This window comes from Homo sapiens, chromosome 17, assembly GCF_000001405.40.
Source record: "Homo sapiens chromosome 17, GRCh38.p14 Primary Assembly".
NCBI lineage: Eukaryota > Metazoa > Chordata > Mammalia > Primates > Hominidae > Homo > Homo sapiens.
In genome coordinates, this window is record NC_000017.11 from 6,478,875 (window position 1) to 6,499,129 (window position 20,255).

A 20,255-nucleotide genomic window follows, 5' to 3' on the forward strand; every position below is an offset into this window, starting at 1 on the left:
CCTGGTGACACAGAGCACAGGCAGTGTGGGGAGGAGAGGGGAAGAGGATTCAAGCCTACACTGACTCCCTGTGTGTCCTTCCCGTGCTGGCCATGGGTGTGGGCCCTGGGGTCCCTGTGACTGCAGTCTCTATTGCCCTCTTCTGCATGGCCCCAAAGGGCACCCCAATCATAGAGGAAGAAGTCAGCTGAGGACCCAGCTAGTGTGGAACATGTAGGAACATATCATCATGGCAGACTTCCTGGAGGAGGTGGGGCTTGAACTAGGCCTCAAGAAAGGCTTTGGAGAAGCTGGGAAAGGAGGAGAGAGGACATGCCAGGCTTGGGGTTCACATGTTGGCCACAGCTTGGAGCTGGGCACATAGCTGCAGACATGATGTTGTGTTCATTGCATCACTGGGAGAAGATCAGAGCTTTCATCAGCTTTGCAGAAAGTTCTGTGACCCCCGAGGGGGCTGAAAGCCTGCCCCACAGTGTCCAGCCAGCAGACTGTCCAGACTTTGCATTGGCACCCTCAACTCCCTACCTTCCCACTAGGAAATCCCCTCCTCTCTGGGCAGCTCAGACTCACCTGAGACCAGTGCCTCCAAGTCACCTACCCCTCCCTCTGCCCCCATCTCTGCTTCTGTTCCCTGGGGCTTCCGACCCAGATGCACTGTTGGACCTGGCTGGTCAGGAAGGACCATACAGGGAGGCTGGGAACTCTCCACCCCTGCCCAGAGCCTGCCCTTCCCCCTTAGCTCAAGCTCAGGCTGATGGAGCCCAGTGCACATCCCACTGGGACTCGACAGAATCTGGGGCAGGTGACAGGGCTGGAGCACTCTCAGCAGGTGGCAGAGTCCTCGTGGTGTACAAGGCTGGCCCTGTCAGCCATTCCTCATCTCCAAAGAACACAAATTAGAGGAAGCAGGCCTCGATTGCAGCCGGAGAGATTTTAATTAGCTGAGAAAGAGCTCCCTCCCAGCCGTGATTATGGGGTGATGAATGGCCCTGGCAAGGAGCTGCCTGGGGGAGAACTAAGCTCCCTCCCGCTGGCCCCATGAATGAATGGCCAGGCCATCCGTCTTCCTGGAGATAGGGGTGACCCAGCTCTGGAGGTCAGATGTCCTGGGGACAGGTAGAGGGGTTCCTGAGACGGATGATGAACTAGCACAGTGAAGTCCTGGACTATCAGAGTGACAAGGGAACATGCTGCGCCACCAGTTCAGCAGTGAGCAGGTGTCAAAGATGCAGATTCCGGGGCACCTCCCTCCTGAATCAGCCACTGCTGGAGGGAGGCCTGGACATCTCGCAGTTTAACAAGAATCACACCAGGGATTTGGGCAATTAGCCAGGTTGCGGAATTACAGACCTAATCTTCCTTCCTTCCAACTCTGATTGAGATCTGCCTGCAATTCCTGTTGGTGTCCAAGGAACGCAGATAAATCAGAGTCTCTGACTTTCCCCCAATCTAGAGGGGGAAAAGGAAGGCCCAGGGAAGGGAAGGGGCTTGCCCGTGCTCTCTCCTGACTGGCTGGAAGCTCCAGGGCAGGGGACTTTGGCCCTCCCCGCACTGAGCCCTCCTCAGAGCCACAATTGGCTGAGAACATCGGCTCCCATTCTCCTGGGGAATTCGGAGTGCGGTGCGCCCCACACACCTGGCACCCTGCTGGGGACCTCTTCCCACCCTTCCCAGCTCCGGAGCCCCGGGGTATGAGGGCTCTGCCTGAGGGCTGGGCTCTGCAGCAGCCCCAAGTCTCTGGCGAGGTCCTGTGAGGGGGACAGGCAGAACAGAGGTGCAGAGGCCTCCCTCCTGCCCCTGACTGAAAGTTCCAAAGCTTCCAGCTGCCAGCCCCAGTGATCTGCCGAATGCCTATAGGATTTGGGCCCTGTAGGCGTTTGGGTCATTTTTGCACATATGACTGCTGAGAACCCAGGTATCCACCCGGCCCCAGGCACCTACCTTTAGCTAGTTCAACAGGATAGGCAGGAGGGGAGCACTGCAGCCCTCAGTGCCTGGAGCAGTGGGTGGAGCTCCCAGAGGCCCCATACCCTGGAGGTCCCCTCAGTTTGTCCCCCACAGGTGCCAGGGCCCACAGTGGGCAAGGATGTGCCAGCGTCAGCAGTGAGCAAGCTGCCCAGCGCTCAACCAGCCCTTCTGTGGACACATCCTTCCCTCCTTTCTCCCCACCAGCTGGGTTCCCTGCTGCGAGTTGGAAGTCTCTCTCCCCAGCCCACTCTCCACCTGCAGAGAGAGCCCCTCTTCCAGCCAGGAGGAAGATGATGTGAGTCATGGCCAGCATCCCCGAAGCTGGCATCCCCACAGTTAGTATCCCCAAGGCTGGCATCCCCATGGCTAGTATCTCCAAGACTAGTATCCCCAAGGCTGGCATCCCTATGGCTAGTATCTCCAAGGTTGGCATCCCCATAGCTAGTATCCCTGAGGCTAGTATCCCCATGGCTAGATCCCCACAGCTGGCATCCCCAAGGCTGGCATCCCCAAGGTCAGCATCCCCAAGGCTGGCATTCCCAAGGCTGGCATCCCTATGTGCTTTCTACATTCTGGACACTGTGTTGAGTGCTTCACACACATTAGCACACAGACTCTTCACAGCCACCCTGAGAGGTTATTTACTATGGCTACCTTCATTGTACAGATTAGGAAATTGAGACAAGGAGAAGTTAAACACCTTCCCCAGACCACACAGCCAGGACTCAAATCCAGGCGGCCTGAGAGCCCACACACTTAGCCGTGGTATGCAAACCCAAAAGTCACTCCTCCAGGAAGTCCTCTCTGGCCTTTCTCAGAGAGCCCACAGTGCCCTGTGCTCTGTGATATTATGCTCCATCAGAGCACTGTGATATTATGAGGTAGATAGATCAGATGATAGATAGATAGATAGATAGATAGATAGATAGATAGATAGATAATGGATGGACAGATGGATGGATGGATGGACGGATGGATGGATGAATAGATAGATAAACAGAATAGAATGATAGAGAGAGAGAGAGAGAGAGAGAGAGAGAGAGAGAGAGAGAGAGAGAATACATAGATAGGTTTTGTCCACAGTTCCTGGCTCCCATAGCCGTTGTTATAATGTTGGGGCACTTAGCCCTAGGAAAACAGAACCTCTCTCTCTCTCTCTCTCTCTCTCTCTCTCTCTCTCTCTCTCTCTCTCTGTCTGTCTCTCTCTCTCTCTCTCTCTCTCTGTCTCTCTCTCTCTCTCTCTCTGACATTCTCCTGCCCTCCTTGAGCTGGCTGTGAAGAAATTCTCTGATCTCCGTTGTCTGATTTAGGTCATGAGACCCTCATTTCAGAAGGAGTCCTGCCCCATACCCAGGAGGAAGGAATGCTGCAGAGGCCAAGAAGAATCTGAGCAGACAGGCCCTGTTGGGTTTCCCGACTTGGTCTGAGTGTCAGCCCCTTTCTGTCCAACCACATATCTATGTTGTCAATCATGCCTAGCCAATGACACCTCCATTAAAGGGCCAAAAGGACAGGAGAGCTTCCGGAGAGCTGAACGCGTGGAGGTTCCTAGTGGCTGGCACACCTAGGGAAGCTCCGTGCCCCTTCCCCCATACCTCACCTTATGCATCTCTTCATCTGTAACCTTTATAATAAACCAGTAAATGTGATTCAGCATTTTCCTGAGTTCTGTGAGCCGATCTAGCAATTAATTGAACCCAGTGACAGGGTTGTGAGAACCCCAGCTTGAAGCTGGGCTGTCAGCAGCACAGATAAAACAAACTGGGGCATGGTATCGGTGTCAGAAGTTTGGGGCAGTCTTGTGGGACCAAGCTCTCACCCCGTGGGATCTGATGCTATCTCCAGGTAGACAGAGGCAGAATTGAATTGGAGGGCACCCAGCTGGTGTCCACAGCAGAACTGATTGCTTGGTGTGTATGGAAACAGCCCCTCACATGTGGCCCGGAAGTCTTCTGTGTTGACTGTTATGGTGTGAGAGCAAAGGAAAAACACCATTCGTGTTTTTCAGATTCCTACTTGGCTGCAATCGTGTGGCCGAGTTTGACTCCTGTCTCCATGGGCTGGGCGACCCTGGGGGAAACTAGCTAAACTCTCAACACTCCGTGTCTTTTTTTTTTTTTGAGACAGAGTCTCACTCTGTCTCCCAGGCTGGAGTGCAGTGGTGCAATCTCGGTTTACTGCAAGCTCCGCCTCCTGGGTTCATGCCATTCTCCTGCCTCAGCCTCCCAAGAAGCTGGGACTGCAGGCGCCCGCCACCTCACCTGGCTAATTTTTTATATTTGTAGTAGAGACAGGGTTTCACCATATTAGCCAGGATGGTCTTGATCTTCTGACCTCATGATCCGCCCACCTCAGCCTCCCAAAGTGCTGGGATTACAGGCGTGAGCCACCGCACCCGGCCAACACTCAGTGTCTTTATCTGGGCCAAACAGATCAGGCTTGTTGAACACTGGAAGTGGATCAAGATTTCATGGGGACCCCAGCACACCCAGGCCCAGGCAGAGGACTCTTCCCACACCTTCCACCAGGGATGCTTGTGTTTCGTCACGATCTGACACCCCAGAGAGTCCTTGCAGGTACCCACCTGCCCACGGGGTCCATGCTGCAGGGGGAGCCCCTCCACTTAGTTCCCCCACCAACCCCAACCAGTTCAAACAAGCAGAAATGGACTCACTGAGAGACAAGCGAGAAAGCCTCAGAGCAGATGGCAGGACAGGGGACGAACTTGATGAGGATGTGGCCCAGGGCAGCAGGGAAATGGGCTCGTGTGACCTTCTCCAGCACGGAGCTGAAGGTGTGGATGTCGGCTGCCTTGCAGGACGGGTCCCCGGCACCCGTGTCCAGGATGTTTCCCCCATGCAGGACCAGCAGGAGGACATGTGTCTTGCAGGAGCGCTGCGGGCAGCCTTCCTGAGAGCCAAGGCGGTTGGAATACAGAGAGAGAGGCGGCTGGGGTCGGGGGAGGCACACAGGGACACACACACACATGTGCGCATACACACACACTCACACACACGCACACACGGGGAGACTGAGGCCAGAGAAGCAGGCACTATGTCCAGCCTGTCTCAGCTGCAATCTGAGGAGCAGTCTCAGCTCTAATACACCCTGCTGTGTGATAGAACCTCTGGTGCATTCAGAGTGAGGGAAGGACATGGGCTGCCAGGAGGGATGTCAGGGCAGGAAGAGTCCCAAGAGATGCTTCCTGTTCATATGGGAACCCAAAGCCCAGAGAAGGACACAGACCCACCCAGGGTCACACAGCAAGTCAGACGAAGAGCTGGAAGAAAACGAGGCCGCCTATGATCCGAGGGCTCTTGCTAAAATCCTGGCCTCTGAGTTGAGCCCAGACACCCTCCGAAGCCCAGCCTACCTCGCTGTCTTCGTGGATCTCGATGCTTCCCTGGGCTGGGAACCTCTGTCTTCTCAAGGAAACCCGGTACAGTTCTCCTGCAGAGGGAAAGAGGGGAGCTCAGCATCTCCAGGCTTCCCTACAGTGACCAGACACTCCCTGGGCCCAGCTGGCCCTAAAGGTGAGACCTTGGCTTACATCACAGGTGAGCTCAAGTTAGAGTCTGGAGCTAGGGAGAGTCACCCCATCCAGGCCCTGCCTCTGAAACCAACACAACATGAAACCCTTTCTCCTCATAAGGAAAAGGGAGGGTGGCAGAGTGAGGCCATCGCGGATGGTGCTCCTGAAAGGAGGGGCTTCCTCGAAAGGAACTAGCCTGCGTTTCTTCACCAGGACAGCAGCAAGGGTGAGTACCACCTGAGGACTTCCACTTCCAGTTATGGACAGCGATTTGAGCAAAGCCTCCCGCTGAGAACAACTAGAAGAGCTGGTGTGATGGCAAAGCGTACGCACCCACTCTTGACTGGGCTGAGAGGTGCCCAGAGAGCTGGTAAAACATGTTCTCTGGGTCTACCTGTGAGGTGTTTTGGGAAGAGGTTGGCATTTGAAGCAGTGAATGAGGCGATCTGCCCTCACCAAGGCAGGTGGGCACCGTGCAGTCCGTGAGGGTCTGAGCAGAACAAAGTGCTGCAGGGAGGGAGGATTCACTCTTCTCAAGCTCAGACTTCCATCTCCTGCCTCACACATCAGCACTCCCGCTTCTCCGGCCTTAGGACTTGAACTGGGATTCGTGCCATTTTCTCCCCCGGTTCTCTGGCCTTTGGGCTTGGGCTGGAACTACACCACAGGCTTTCCTGGGCCTCCCGACTTCCAGACAGCAGGTCAGGGAACCTCTCAGCCTCCATCATCACGAAACCATGCACGAAAGCCAGTCCCTCATAATAAGTCTCTTTTTAATTTTCTTTTCTTTTTTTTTTTTTTTTGATGGAGTTTCACTCTTGTTGCCCAGGCTGGAGTGCAATGGTGCAATCTCGGCTCACTGCAACCTCCGCTTCCCGGGTTCAAGTGATTCTCCTGCCTCAGCCTCCCGAGTAGCTGGGATTACAGGTGTGTGCCACCACACCTGGCTAATTTTGTATTTTTTGTAGAGACGGGGTTTCTCCATGTTGCTCAGGCTGGTCTCAAACTCCTGACCTCAAGTGATCCGCCCACCTCGGCCTCCCAAAGTGCTGGGATTACAGGAGTGAGCCACCATGCCTGGCCAATAAGTCTCTTTTTATACATCTGTGTATATATCCTTTCGGTCGGTTTCTCCGCAGAACCCTAATATGGCTGGATACATACTTAAAAAAAAAATATCTGTTTGAAGTTAACAGAGAAATAATAGAGGCTTGAATTACGGGACCACTTTCCAGGGAAGGTAGACTCCCAGAGAGTTAAGGTCGGCATTTGAAACATTACTGGCATTGCCCATGAGCTTTAGGGTAAAGCTGGCCTTTGCCAGAAATCTCTCCTTGCTCCTCTCAGCAGCCTGGGCTCAACGCCTCCTCCTTCAAGAAGTCCTTCTTGGCTCCCAGCCCTCCCTGAGCTCTCATTTACCTAACACAGAATTCAGTAAACCACAGCCATGGACCAAATCTGCCCCACTGCCTGTTTTTGTAAATAAAGTTTTATTGGAACACACTCAGGCTCCTTCATTTACATATTGTCTATGGCAGGCGGCTTTTGTGCTACAGCAGCAGAGCAGTTGCAGCAGACACCTTACAGCTCACAAAGCTGAAAATATTTATTATCTGGCCCTTTCCAGAAATGTCTGTCAACCCCTGATCTAACACCTACACTCCTGAATGTGATGACACTGGACTCCTGGGTGGAGAGACTTCAAAGGCATCCAACAGCCACCCCTGAGCCCCCACCCAAATGATACCTGCACTCTGAGGCCTCCTTCCTGCCACCAGGCTGCCTTCAGCTCCTCTCCTTCCTCCCCCATGAGATGGATGCTACCTCCCGTGTGTGGCTAAAACCTACAGCCAAGCTGAACCACCTGTTTGTCTTCAGGGAGGAGGAACTGGCTCATCTCTTAAAGTCGTAGGTTCTAGATGAAGATGGTCCTTGCCTTCTTCACACCCCACCCCCACCAGAGCCTGCTGCTCCCCTCTAGGAGTCACATCTGGGGAGGGTCCTTCCAGGGGCTTTGCGGGCAACCCTAGGCACCCTGTCAACATCCCCTCACCATGACCAGCCCCAGGGGAGGGTACCTCTACAAAGAACTGCAAATGAGAAGCTTTTCTCAGCAGGGAAGAGCATTTCTGAAATATTCTGTCCTCACAGACACAATCCCAGTCAAAGGGTAACTGCTTTATGAGCTCCGAGCTACTGCCCACACAGACAGGAAATCATTTCCTAAATGATGGAGGAAGAGGGAAAACTCGTCCTGGGGCCCGGCTGTGCCCAGCACTTCCTAGTTCTTCCCATTGGCTAGGCTCTCCTGCCTAATTTCTAACTTACTAAAGACCTTGCCTTGGGCTTGGCTAGAGGAGACCCTGGCTCTCTCTTCAGGACAGGATGATAACACAAGACAACAGTAACAGCTCAGCTTTGTTAAGCACTTATTATGTCCTGGGCACTATGTGCTTTACATGATTCATCCTCTCTAGTCCCCACAATTACTCTCTGAGTCTGAATGATCTTGTTATTAGCCCCATTTTACAGATGAGCAAACCAAGGCTCAATCAACCTATGTCACTTGCCCCACGTACCTTAAAGGTTAAAGCCCAGGTCTGCCGCTGCCAGGCCCCTTTCCACCACGTGAACTAGTACCAGGAGGGAGAGGGTCTGAGTGTGGCTTCCCTGAGACAAAGCGCTCATGCTTCATGGTGTGTGCGGCTGTGTGTGCGGCTCTGGGGCAGGCTGTGAGTCAAGAAGAACCAGGAGTGATGGCAGGGCTGAGGTTGGCTCTAGGGCTGGGAGGAGCGTGGTTAAAGCCACGGACCCTGGATCCAGAACGCCTGAGTTCACATCTTGGCTCTTATCAGCTGTGTGACCTGTGTCTCAGTTTCTTCATCTGGAATATGGGGATAATAAAAGCAGCTACCCCATGGGGTGGTGGTGAGGATAGATGAGTTCATATGCATAAAGGGCTTAGAGCAGGGTGTGGAACACAGGAAGTGTCACATGGGTTAGCGGCTATTGTTATTATTATCATTATCCAGGGGACATCCAGGGCACAGAGCCAGGACCACAGCTGACAAGATGGGCTGATGGGGACATTGCCGCCTCCACACTTGCCTGCCCTGGTGCCAAGTCCCTCCCTGAGCCCTGGCATGCTCCTCGGCCTTGCTGGGCTGGGCGCCTGTTTGCAGTGTGATTACAGGATTAAATGCTGTGATTGCCACAAATTACTATGGCAAGGCTATAAATACATTGCAGGGAAGACATGAGGGTCCTGTTGTCTCCTGGGCACGATGCCCTCTGTTAGGTGGGGGCTGGACTCTGCGCCCTCACCCATTACAAAGGCCAAGGAGCACCTCCATCTTTGATCTGTCTGGAGCCAGCTCCCTCGCGACCCATGTGATGCTCTGGGCATCAAATCGGTGGATGACTGCTGCATCCTGGCCACCAACGATGTTGAGGCCGTGCCTGGTTCCGTGGGGATGGGAGCCTCAGGCCAGAGACTGGGCAGGATTGTCCTCAGTATCCCTCACTCCTCCCTAGCAGGAGGAAAGAGTCTCACCTCCTACGCTGTTTGGGGACAGAGCCTTGCTTCCTTTCCATGCACAAAAGCCAGGAATGCTTTGCTCTGGGAGATGGAGGAAGGGAGATCTAGCCTGCCAGATTCAGATTCTGGCCCCTTGAGAGTTGACTAACAGGACCAGAGCTTCCCCACAGAAAGGCACACCTCCCGTCTTCATCTTAGCAGAGGCCCCTGTAGACAAGCAGGGGCAGCCGTAGGCTACCTTCCCTGTACCTTCCCCACAGGTCTCTGCTCTTCTAAAAGCCAGACATTCCTACCATGATAATTGGGGCCATTGGCTCTGACTCACCCACAAGACATAACTCTTTCACTCGTCCTTGCCTTTGCTCATGCTGAGCCCTCTGCCTGCAAGCCCTTCCTCCCTTTGCAGACTGGCAAACTCCTACTTGTCCTGCAAAACCCTGCTCAATGGCTATCACCTCTAGAAAGCCGTCTTTGATCTATCTAGGCAAAGATGGCTATCCCATAGTATGCGGCACTGGTCCTGGCTTACTCGTCTATTTCCCCATCAGACTGTGGGCCCCTTGAGAATAGAGTTTACCAGTTTTCAGGGACTAGGATGGCACTTTTGTGAAAACCTTTTGGAAGATCCCAGGATGCACACATCCTGTGAGACATCTCTGTGCCATTAAACCCCCAGGAGAAATCAGGTTCAGGGAAGCATCATCCACTGAGAAGCACGTTGCTTCAAAGTACTCACAGGAACTGGTACCTGGGAACCTCTGGGGATTCTAGAAGAGTCTGGCCTGGGCTTCATAATTCCACCCCTAGAGGCTTCCTCAGGGACTCTGGTGACAAGAGCAGCTGGCAGGGGGTCCTAAGGGGTGGAGAGCCACATAAAGGGGACCCCAGGACCTCATCATTAGGCTGCCTGTTTCTTCCCACTTCCTGTTAATTTCTGTTTGCATGTCCCTATTCAGGCTGGGTCCCTGCAGTGCCCAGATTTGGGGTGGGGGAGCCCACAGCTGTTTTTGTGACAGTGTTTTTTGACAGGCTTTGAGACAGGCCAGCTACCGCAGTGCCAGCTCCCAGTGCCCCACTAGCTCCACATCAGGAGAGGTGGTCCACCCAGCTCACCATGGCTGCTCTTGATGCCTGAAGAATGGAGCCTATGTTTGCTTAATCACAGCCTTGGAGAGGTACAAATCGTGATCATCCCCTCTAATTACCAATGCGCCACACTGCTCTTGAGACGAAAGCCAAGGTCATCACCCACACACTCAGCACCCCAAGCAAAGCATCACCCCAGCTCGGCTGGAGAGCATAGCTGTCTCCCTCTCTCTTGCTACCAACCTCTGGGGTCCACAGGGGTGGATGCTGAGGGCCCACTGGCTAAAGCCAAACACTCAGTCTCCTCCTCCATCCTTGGCAGTCACTCCCACCCCCCGTTAGTCACCCCTGGCATCAACCAAGCAGAGCTGGGCCCAGCTTGAGACCATGTGGCACATCCTGAGAAGTAGCTACAAAAGTATCTAATCCTCTGTAAGCTAGTGGAAGCTCATACATGGGTGGAAACATAAGGTTTTTTTTTATTTTTTTTTTGCCTAAACCGGCCCAGGTCACCAGGCCAGGGCTCTTCATCATCCTGAAGGAGGGGAGTAAGAAAGGGATGGTCTCTTTGTTCTTACTAATGCCTCCACCCCTCAGCCCTGCCTCCTCAGAGAGACTCTTGGCAGGGAGGAAAAAGTGAGGAGAGGCTACTATGAGGAGCAGGAACTTCTTAGACTGTTAGGCCCTTTCAGTCAAGCTCATTCCCCATTTAAAAAGACGTTACTTGCCGGGGACCGTGGCTCACGCCTGTAGTCCCAGCACTTTGGGGGACCAAGGCAGGCAGATCACGAGGTCAGGAGTTCGAGACCAGCCTGGCCAACATGGTGAAACCCCATCTCTACTAAAAATACAAAAATTAGCTGGGCATGGTGGTGCGCACCTGTAATCCCAGCTACTCGGGAGGCTGAGGCAGAAGAATCGCTTGAACCCGGCAGGCAGAGGTTGCAGTGAGCCGAGATCACACCACTGCACTCCAGCCTGGCGACAGACAGAGCGAGACTCCATCTCAAAAAAAAAAATAAAAAGACATGTTATGCTCTGAGGATCCCCTGTCAAGTCCACCCTGGCCCTGCCTGGAAGTCAAAGGCTTTGCTATTTTGCTGTGATGTGGGATTCATCCATATACCTAGATGACATCTGGGAAGAACTACAGCCTCATTCAGTAGCACCTGGGGGACTCAATCCACAGCCCCCATTCCCCAGGTGAGCCCGCATGACACACACATGCAGAAAGAAGGGGACACACACAGACTTACAGGGGAGACAGGCCCTGGATAGAGTCCTCGGATGGGAAACTAACCCTCTACTCAGAGGGTGACCTCAGACACGCTCTGCAAACCACCGCAAAAGGAGGGGTTTGCCTACATTCCCCGGTAAGAGTCAGGCAGTCTGAGATTCTATGAGTCCAAGCATAAGTGCCCTCTGTGAGTGCTAGCCTCCAGACCCAGCAGAATTTGGCACTAGGACCTTGAAGGGGACCCAGAGTCACAATGATGGAGTCACTCTGAGAGGCTATGGAGAAAGGAAGAGCAACCAAAAAGCTGCAGGCGGCAAATTTCACTTTGCTTTTCAAAGTGGTTGATTCCAGCTAGGGGCTTGGCGTTGATTCCTAGGCAAGTCCTGGGGCAAATTAATAAACAAACGCTTTGAGGACCCTTAGAAAAGGAAGCAGTGGGGCCGGGCGCAGTGGCTCATGCCTATAATCCCAGTACTTTGGGAGGCTGAGGTGGGCAGATCAGTTGAGCTCAGGAGTTCGAGACCAGCCCGGCCAACCTGGTGAAACCCTGTCTACTAAAAATACAAAAATTAGACAGGCGTGGTGGTGGGCACGTATTTAGCTGTAATCCTAGCTACCTGGGAGACTGAGGCAGGAGAATCACTTAAACCTGGGAGGCGGGGGTTGCAGTGAGCCGAGATGGCCCCACTGCACTCCAGCCTAGGAGACAGAGCAAGACTCTGTCACCAAAAAAAAAAAAGAAAGAAAGGGAAGGGGAGGGGAGGGGAGGGAAGGGGAGGAAAGGGGAGGGGAGGAGAGGAAAGGGGAGGGGAGGAGAGGAAAGGGGAGGGGGAGGGGAGGAAAGGGGAGGGGAAGGGAAGGGAGGGGAGGGGAGGGGAGGCGAGGGGAGGGGAGGGGAGCAGTGGCTCCCAGAGCTCTGATAGGTACTCTTGGAACCAGCTCGCTAACCCTGCATCATAGCATGTGGCATAGATAGGGTCGCTGGACCAGCAGCTCAAGGGAATGCCAAGGGCTTAGGGGCATCTGGGGAGGGGAACACACTGGCAGAATAAGAAACTATCTAAGGAACCCATAGCTCTCACCACTTGAGCTCAAGGAATGTGGGCTCATGAATGGGAACCTGCGGCCACACAAGATGTGGGGACCAACAGCCAGTAGCAGATGCGGATGGAACAGCGTGAAGCTGTTCTGAAGGTTTTAAAACTTTTTTAAAAACAGGGGAAATTTTTAGCCAATGAAAGTTCCCTTAGGAGCCCAATTTGCAAAGATGAAAGTGGATCGGCTCTGGCTGAAGCAGGCTGGGGGGCCCAGAGCCCACCTTCCTCACTCCAGCACATCCCTGTCCCTAGGCAGCTCCTGAGGGCTTCAAGAGACTGAAACTTAAAAGCCACTGAGCTTGTTCAGCAGCCAGACTGCAGGCCACCCTCCTCTGCAGGTTCCCAGCTCCTAGCATTGCAGAAAAGGAAAAATGACAATCTAAATAATGGTGGGGGAGGTGGGGGAAGAAGCTTGGGGCCTCATATTAGAAGGAAACACACTAAAATGTTTACAGTGGTTTTCTCTAGATGCTGGGACAATGGAATATATATATATATATATATAATAAAGAATTAATTAAGAATTAAGATCCTGTGTTTGGGTTAAAAATGAACTAGAGGGGCTAGGCGCCATGGCTCACAACTGTAATATATATATATATATATTTTACTTTCTACTTTCATCTATTTTCCAATTTTTCTCTAAGGAGTCCATATTTCTTTTAGTTTAAAACTATTTATGAATGTTTATTGGATAGATAATACAAGTATGTGTCATGTTTATGCAAGGAACTTTTTTTTTTTTTTTTTGAGACAGAGTCTCACTCTGTCACCAGGCTGGAGTGCAGTGGCGCAATCTGGGCTCACTGCAACCTCCACCTCCCGGGTTCCAGCAATTCTCTTGCCTCAGCCTCCTCAGTAGCTGGGACTACAGGCGCCCCCCCACCATGCCCAGCTAATTTTTGTATTTTTAGTAAAGACGGGGCTTCACCATGTTGGCCAGGATGGTCTCGATCTCTTGACCTTGTGATCTGCCCACCTCAGCCTCCCAAAGTGCTGGGTTTACAGACATGAGCCACTGTGCCCAGCCTATGCAAGAACATTTTAAAACCAGCCACAACCTCCTATTTTAGTCAATACAAACACTACAAAGAAAAAAGTGTGAAATGTTGTCCTCCCCTCAGGAGCTGACAGGCTAATGAGGGAGTATAAAAGGATAAGAAATGCTTGTGGAAGGAAAGAATAAATGTGGAACATGATGAGTGAATTAAGATCCTGTGTTTGGGTTAAAAATGAACTCGAGGCTAGGCGCCATGGCTCACACCTATAATCCCAGCACTTTGGGAGGCCAAGGTGGGTGGATCAGTTGAGGTCAGGAGTTCAAGACCAGCCTGGCCAACATGGTGAAACCCCGTCTCTACTAAAAATACAAAAATTAGTTGGGCATGGTGGCGGGTGCCTGTAATCCCAGCTACTTGGGAGGCTGAGGCAGGAGGATTGCTTGAACTCGGCAGGTGGAGGTTGCAGTGAACAGAGATCCTGCTGTTGCACTCCATCCTGGGCAATAAGAGTGAAACCCTATCTCAAAAAATAAAATAATAAAATAAAATAAAAATAAAGTAAGCCTTCCAAGGACTTAAAAAAAAAAAACAATGAACTCAATACCACTTGCCTATTCCCACCCTATTGGTTATTGCCCAAACTTGTGTCAAGGCTGAAAACACCAAGACCAATCAGACACAGCATCTGCCTTCAAAGATCTCTCAAGCCCCTGGGATCACATGACCAAGAGTAGGTCATGTGACCAAGGTCGGGTCAATGACAAAGACCTAGGTCATGTGCCCAAGATCAGTCACATGACCAAAGGCTACAAACAGCTTGAGTCAGGGTAGTGGGGCTGCCACAGTTACTTCTCAACCTCTAAGGCTGCACAAACCAGAGATCTCAGTTCAAAATGAGAGGGAGACATCCCTGCCCTGCCCCTGCAGCTCAGGCCCTGCTGAGGGTATGTCTGATGCCCAATAACAGAGCAGGAAAGCTATAGAAAGGGGCTCAGGAGGTTGAGAGACCCAGCCTGGAGAAGAGCAGCAGCTGCCTGCAAATCTATGCTGAGCCTCGTGTGGGTCAAGGGAGCAGAGGGCAAAGCCAGGACAAATAAGGGTTGGGGTGGTTTCTGGAGAGCCATTCCAAGTTTTAGCACAACCTAGGAAATGTTTACAACAGTTCAAGAGTGACCTGTGCTGACCTGCAAGCAGGCTGTTCTCCTTCACTGAGGTTAGACAAGCAAGTTATATAAGTGACCACGTAGCAGGGTGCTGGGGAGGGAAGTTTCATCCAGAGTCTGGGGGAGCTGGTGGCTGAGGTCCCTCCATGACTCCTTAACGCTTTCAGGGTCAGAATCTAATCACGTCCACCTGGATTCATCTGACTAACCAGGCTAAGGTGATGTGTTCAAACCTTCAACGGCCCAGTGAGCCTTTCACAGAGACACTACCCCAGACCAGGGCCTGGCCCTTGCGAGGGCCTATGCCCTAAACCCTGCCCCTTGAGAACATGTTGTTAGATACCCCAAGTGAACACGGGGTTAGTTCGGAGGAACAGTTCTCATGGGGGATCCCAGTTCAGATCAGAGGTGCCATCCTGAATCGGGCCCAGTGAAATTTCCAGGTATACAACCATGAGAAAACTCTGCCACCACGACACAGGGATGCTAGAGGGACATGAAATCCCAAACCCTGGTGTTCCCCTACAGACTCCTTTGCAACAAACACAGCCCTAAGACTGGTCCTGAGTTTCTAGTCCTCATCCGGTGTCTCAGGCAATCTTCACATTCATCCTGTGAGGTCAGGAGTACTCTCCCCATCTTAAAGATGAGAAAACCAAGGATTGGAAAGGTAAAGTGATTTCTCTCAAGATGTAAGTGGAGGGCTGGGTACTTGAACCCAGGTCACCAGGTCAGGGCTCTTCATCGTCCTGAAGGAGGGGAGTAAGAAAGGAATGGTCTCTTTGCTCTTACTAATCCCTTCACGCCACAGCCCTGCCTCCTCAGGGAGACTCTTGGCAGGGAAGAAAGAGTGGGAAGAGGCTACTCATAGCAGGAACTTCTTAGGCTGTTAGCCTGACCCCCTAATGATCCCCTGTCAAGTCCACCCTGGCCCTGCCTGGAACAGCACATACACAAAGGAATGCAGTGGCACACTCCAGCCCATGCGCACCTGCACAGTAACCCCTGCCAAGTGTGTGCGGCATCCAGCACAGGGCCTAGGAATGGCTCTCACACATAGGAAAAAGGTGCTCAACCTTAGAACCCTAAACTAGAGGAAGGCTCATTGAAATTACCCTAAGACAACTTTTTTTTTTCCACCTGTCAGACTGGCAGTTGTGACACACTATGGGCCAGGGTGTGGAAAAACGATCTCTTCATTCATTGCTGGTGAGAGTAAACATCAGTATAGCCTCTGTGAAGGGCCATTTGGCAATGTCATTCAACATGCAAAATGCCTTTGACCCAGCAATTCCAAGCCCATGTGCAAAAGGACATATGTACAGTGCTAACCATTGCCACATTGCTTTTACAACAGCAAAAGACAGGAAGCACCTATATGTCCACCAGTAGGGGACAGATTAAATAAATTGGACCACAGTGAAATTGCACATGCCCATTGCAAAAAACAACTCACCTCTAAGCATACTGAGCTAAGGAGACAATCATGATCTAGTATCAACATCTGAGAAAAGCAAGGTGCACAAAGAAAGGAACTGTGTGCTCCCATCTGTGTGAGGGTATAGATATAAAAATATATATAAATGCATATTTATGGATAGACTCTTGTATGCAGAGATTATCTCTGAAATGGAATCTAAGAAGCCAGTTATAATCTTTTCTTCTAGGGAGAATTGTGTGCGCTGGAAGACAGGAGAGGGAGGCATTTTATACCATGTATATGTGCTACCTACTCAAAAGACAGATTAAAAATAAGAATTTTTCTAAGTGCATGTAGCAGGGTGGTTTTTTTTTAGATACCAATTTATATCTTCTCCCAGCTCTGGCTCCTTTGCCTCTGGGAAGGTTTGTGGCAGAGCTTCCTGGCTTTTGTTTCCAAAAGCTCTTTTGTTCCCAAGAGGAAAGGATTTGGAGACAGAGAATGCTTCAGGGTGAAAAGAGATCCTCACACCCTGGCCCTGGGTGGAGGAGAGAGTCTTCTATACGGGTCCCTTCGCAACTCCAGGAAGATGGAGAACAACATAAGAAGACCTGGCCATCCCATGCTCCAGAGAGCGTGAACCCTTGCAGCCAGGAGCTGCAAGCCCAGGACAAAAGGGACCACCAGGCTGGGTTCTGGGGTCCTCGTGCTCACCGCTGTGGACGAAGGACCCCTTGCACATGTGTGCATGCTGCAGGCACCCTTCCCCCACCAGAGTGCTGGGAAGACCCCTGGAGTTTTGAGGCGATGGCAGGAGAGGGAGGAAAGAGAAGCTCCTGGACACACAGAGGAGGAGGAGTCCTTCACCAGCACAGCTGCAAGGGAATGTACAGTCAAAATCAAAGTGGCTTACAGAAAAACAAAGGAAAGGGCGATTCTTCCACGTGGAAGTAAGTAGACTGTGCAGTGAGGTCTCTCTTTGCCCCTCCAGAGCCTCAGTGCCCCATCTCTGCCCGACTCAGCCCGAGGCCGAGGCCCCCTAGCTACAGGTTGGGTGTAGCGATGGAAAGCACCAGTAGGAGAACTGGGGCAAGGGAGCCCCCTCCATGCCGGGTCATCGTAAGGTGGTCTCTGCTGAAGGCTCATGCAGGAGCCTCTCTGGGCTCTTCTCCTTCAGGGGTGGGAACAACCCCAGGGTATTGCTGATGCCTTCTTGGTTTCCTTAAAGCCTCACTCACCTGTGAATAAAGTCTCTCTGCTAAGCCCTCCTCCCACCTGTGGTTTGTGTGAGCCTTCCGTTTCCTGCTAGAACCCTGACTGCATCACGGGCTGGATCCTAAGTGCTCTATGCAAATCCCATCACCTCCTCCCACACCACCCCTCTCCAGGCTTCTCTTATCCTGACCAAGCCCCCGCCTTCTGCTCCGCTCTCCCACACTCGCCCCTCCCTCTCTGAACTCAGCCAGTTTTCGCACATCCCCTTTCCCTCTCACTGCAGAGTCCCAGCAAATGTTCCCCGGGCCTGGGCTCTTCTCTCCACTGCCCCGTGACCAGATAATTCCCACAGGAACCTCAGTGTTCCTTCCTTCCGGGGGCCTTCCACTCTTCCTGTCCTCTCCACAAAAGCGCCACGGTCCTCTCTTTCCTGGGGTTAATCCTCACGCTTTTCATTTTATGACTATTTGATTATTATCTTCCCCTCCTCCGTCTCCCAGATGACAAGATCCTTAAGGGCTGGGACTGGGTTTGATTTTGCTCTATTTTATCCCCAAAGACTATCATGATGTTGGCATATAAAGGTGCTCATTAAATATTTTTTAAACAGATGGGTGAATGAACTAATCATTTGTTCCCATTTTGCACCCCTATAAGTGTCGGAAGCTGCACGTGCCCCAGCAAAGCCCAGATGCTATGTAGATAGACTTGTATATGCGCACAGAGACGCACACTCATCCTCATGAAAGTGAATGCACCAATGCATTGGCATAGAGGCTAATGCACATCCTCATGAAAGTGAATGCACCAATGCGTTGGCATAGAGGCTAATGCACACATACAAGTGCAAGGGCACACACACACAAACGAGAAGGAACGATGCCAAGCAGAGACACACACACACATGCAAGAAAAGTGCTCCCAAGGCGGACGTCTGCCACCCTGAGCTCATTAAAGCTGGCTAAATATAGCCTGTCTGCAGCTGTGCTCAGCAAGCTGCCCACACAGGCCAGGAAAAGACACCAGTTACCAGGCAGAGGAGTGGAGAGGCCAGCCGTGGGCAAGGGGCTTCACGCATCCTGTCTGTGGTGGGGGGTCTTCCTGGGGAGGCCAGGGGCTGAGGGTATGTGGGAAGGGAAGCCCTTCGGTGGCTGGTCAGGGCATTCAGAGCTGTTCCTCTGGTCACTGACCCTAGGCAGTGGGGTGCGAAGTCAAACCACATGCCCACGATGGGGAGAGGTGAGCTGAGCCATCTACATCTCTCTGCATCTGAGCCGAGGACCCAAGCTCAGTCCAGGACCAGGGGCTGGAGTTAGGACCCAGCTGGGGATAAATTGGGGCTCAGTTGGTGGCTAGGAGAGAGGCTCAGTAGAGGATGAAGATAAAGGGTCAGACTGGGACTAGGGTTGGGACTCTGTGGACCATTGCCAGGTCTTTTTCTGGGGACAAGAGGAAGTTCACAGCCCCACAGAGCATCTGCTCTAATGTGTGGACGTGGCTGTGGGAAGACCCTCCCCGCACGTGGGACAGCTGCCTGCGGCCCTCACCCCTGCAGCTGATGCCAGGCGCTGGCTCTGGAAAAGCCATGAGACGACCAGCATGGCTTTGGGTCACATGTGTCAGGTGGCTGTTGTCATCCACACAGGCAGGGTCCAACTTCAAGGGCCACAATAGACAGGTCTTCCTGCTGTAGAATCTGCCCCCCAACCCATCCTGCATGGGGGTGGGGCAGAGGGAGGCTCCTCTCAACTCGCACTTTCCCAGCCTGTGCACTGCGGAGCCCTGCCCCTCGTGGAGCTGCTGAGACTGGAAGGGAGAGGCATGGAGCGGGTGAGGCAGCCGCAGGTCTCCTGGGAGAATGTCATGCCTCCTCCCACCGGACGTTCCTGGATGGGGGCGTGGGCAGAGGAAGGGGAGTTACTGCCCCTTTGAGACAACAGCTCTACCCTTTGCCTCTTCTATGGTGGTGGCATATTGCAGCAGGAGGGGTGAGCCGGGCTTGCTGGATTCAGCACGTGTGAGCCCAGCAGCCATGAATGGAGCCACAAGGGCAGAGGCCAACAGTGCGGGGTCCAGAGGGACCCTGGTCCTTCCCACCATTTGCTGCAGAGGAACTGCTTCTGTCTCCTCCGCAGAGATGGATGGTATGCTCAGGCTTCCCAATTAGCCCACAAGAAAACTGTGCTTAGAGAGTCCACGCTCCTCCCAGAGCTAGCCTGGGGAAACGGGAGAGCTGACAGGAAGAGGGGAAAGTGGTCGGGTAAGGTTGTATGGAGGCAAGGTTCACGCTTCATTCGAGAGGATCCATGGGAGAGAAAGCAGGGGCTGTGAGAACCAGCCTTTCCTCCTCCAAAGGTCTCTCTGACACGCTGAAGGGAGGATCAGAGTGGGTGAGATGGGAAGCAGGAAGGCAGGGAGGCCGGGAGGCAGGGAGGCAGGGACGCCAGTGCACAGGAGGATGCAATGGTCCAGGAGAGAGAAGATAGGGCCTCAACTAGAGAAGGGATGGGGACAGGGAGGAGTGGGTGGGTCTCATAGCACTGCTGGAGGTTGAATGACACTAGCAGAGGCTGATTTGATAGTGGATGGTGACAGAGACAGAGAAGTCTAGAAGGTTTCTGGCTTGGATTCATGGAGGATGGTGCCATTCACACTGGATGGAAGCACAGAAAGAGTGAGGTTCAATGGAAACATACAAGATCCCTGAGTCCCTACAGCCAGCACCATGGCAGGTATAGTGGGAGCACTCCGGAAATGGTCACTGTGCTAACTAACGGAGCAGCATGAACAAGGCAGAAACAGAAAGAGGCACAGACAGAGGAAGCCAGGGGACAGAGAGGTGGCAACAGAAGACCCCGAGAATGTCAGAACCAGGAGGGACTCCATGAACAGACAGATGGGGCCCCAGGCACGAGCTGAGACTGCACAGCAACTCGGCAGTAGGTCACCCAGGTCTCCTCCCCCAAGTCCAAGGCCCTCTCTCTTCTCTGGACCCCCA

The 20,255-nt window shown here is 52.7% G+C and overlaps 1 protein-coding gene across 5 annotated transcripts in view, besides 2 other annotated features; it reads right to left on the bottom strand.

Moving 5' to 3' along the window:
* PITPNM3 (PITPNM family member 3) overlaps positions 1-20,255 on the bottom strand; it is a 105,293-nt gene that overhangs the window by 27,612 nt on the left and 57,426 nt on the right. For all 5 annotated transcript variants that reach the window (NM_001165966.2, NM_031220.4, XM_011524015.4 and 2 more), the window contains 2 exons: positions 5,342-5,418; positions 4,643-4,878 (listed from right to left, as the gene is read on the bottom strand). In NM_001165966.2, the coding sequence (NP_001159438.1) occupies positions 4,643-4,878; positions 5,342-5,418 (313 nt within the window). The remainder of the gene's footprint in view (positions 1-4,642; positions 4,879-5,341; positions 5,419-20,255) is intronic.
* Positions 14,057-14,558: an enhancer, noted in NCBI's record as "H3K27ac hESC enhancer chr17:6396251-6396752 (GRCh37/hg19 assembly coordinates)". NCBI's record gives its function as "activates a minimal SCP1, AML or CMV promoter by ChIP-STARR-seq in naive H9 embryonic stem cells {active_cell/tissue: H9 hESC(naive)}" and the evidence as "EXISTENCE:reporter gene assay evidence [ECO:0000049][PMID:30033119]".
* Positions 18,679-19,569: an enhancer, noted in NCBI's record as "H3K4me1 hESC enhancer chr17:6400873-6401763 (GRCh37/hg19 assembly coordinates)". NCBI's record gives its function as "activates a minimal SCP1, AML or CMV promoter by ChIP-STARR-seq in primed H9 embryonic stem cells {active_cell/tissue: H9 hESC(primed)}" and the evidence as "EXISTENCE:reporter gene assay evidence [ECO:0000049][PMID:30033119]".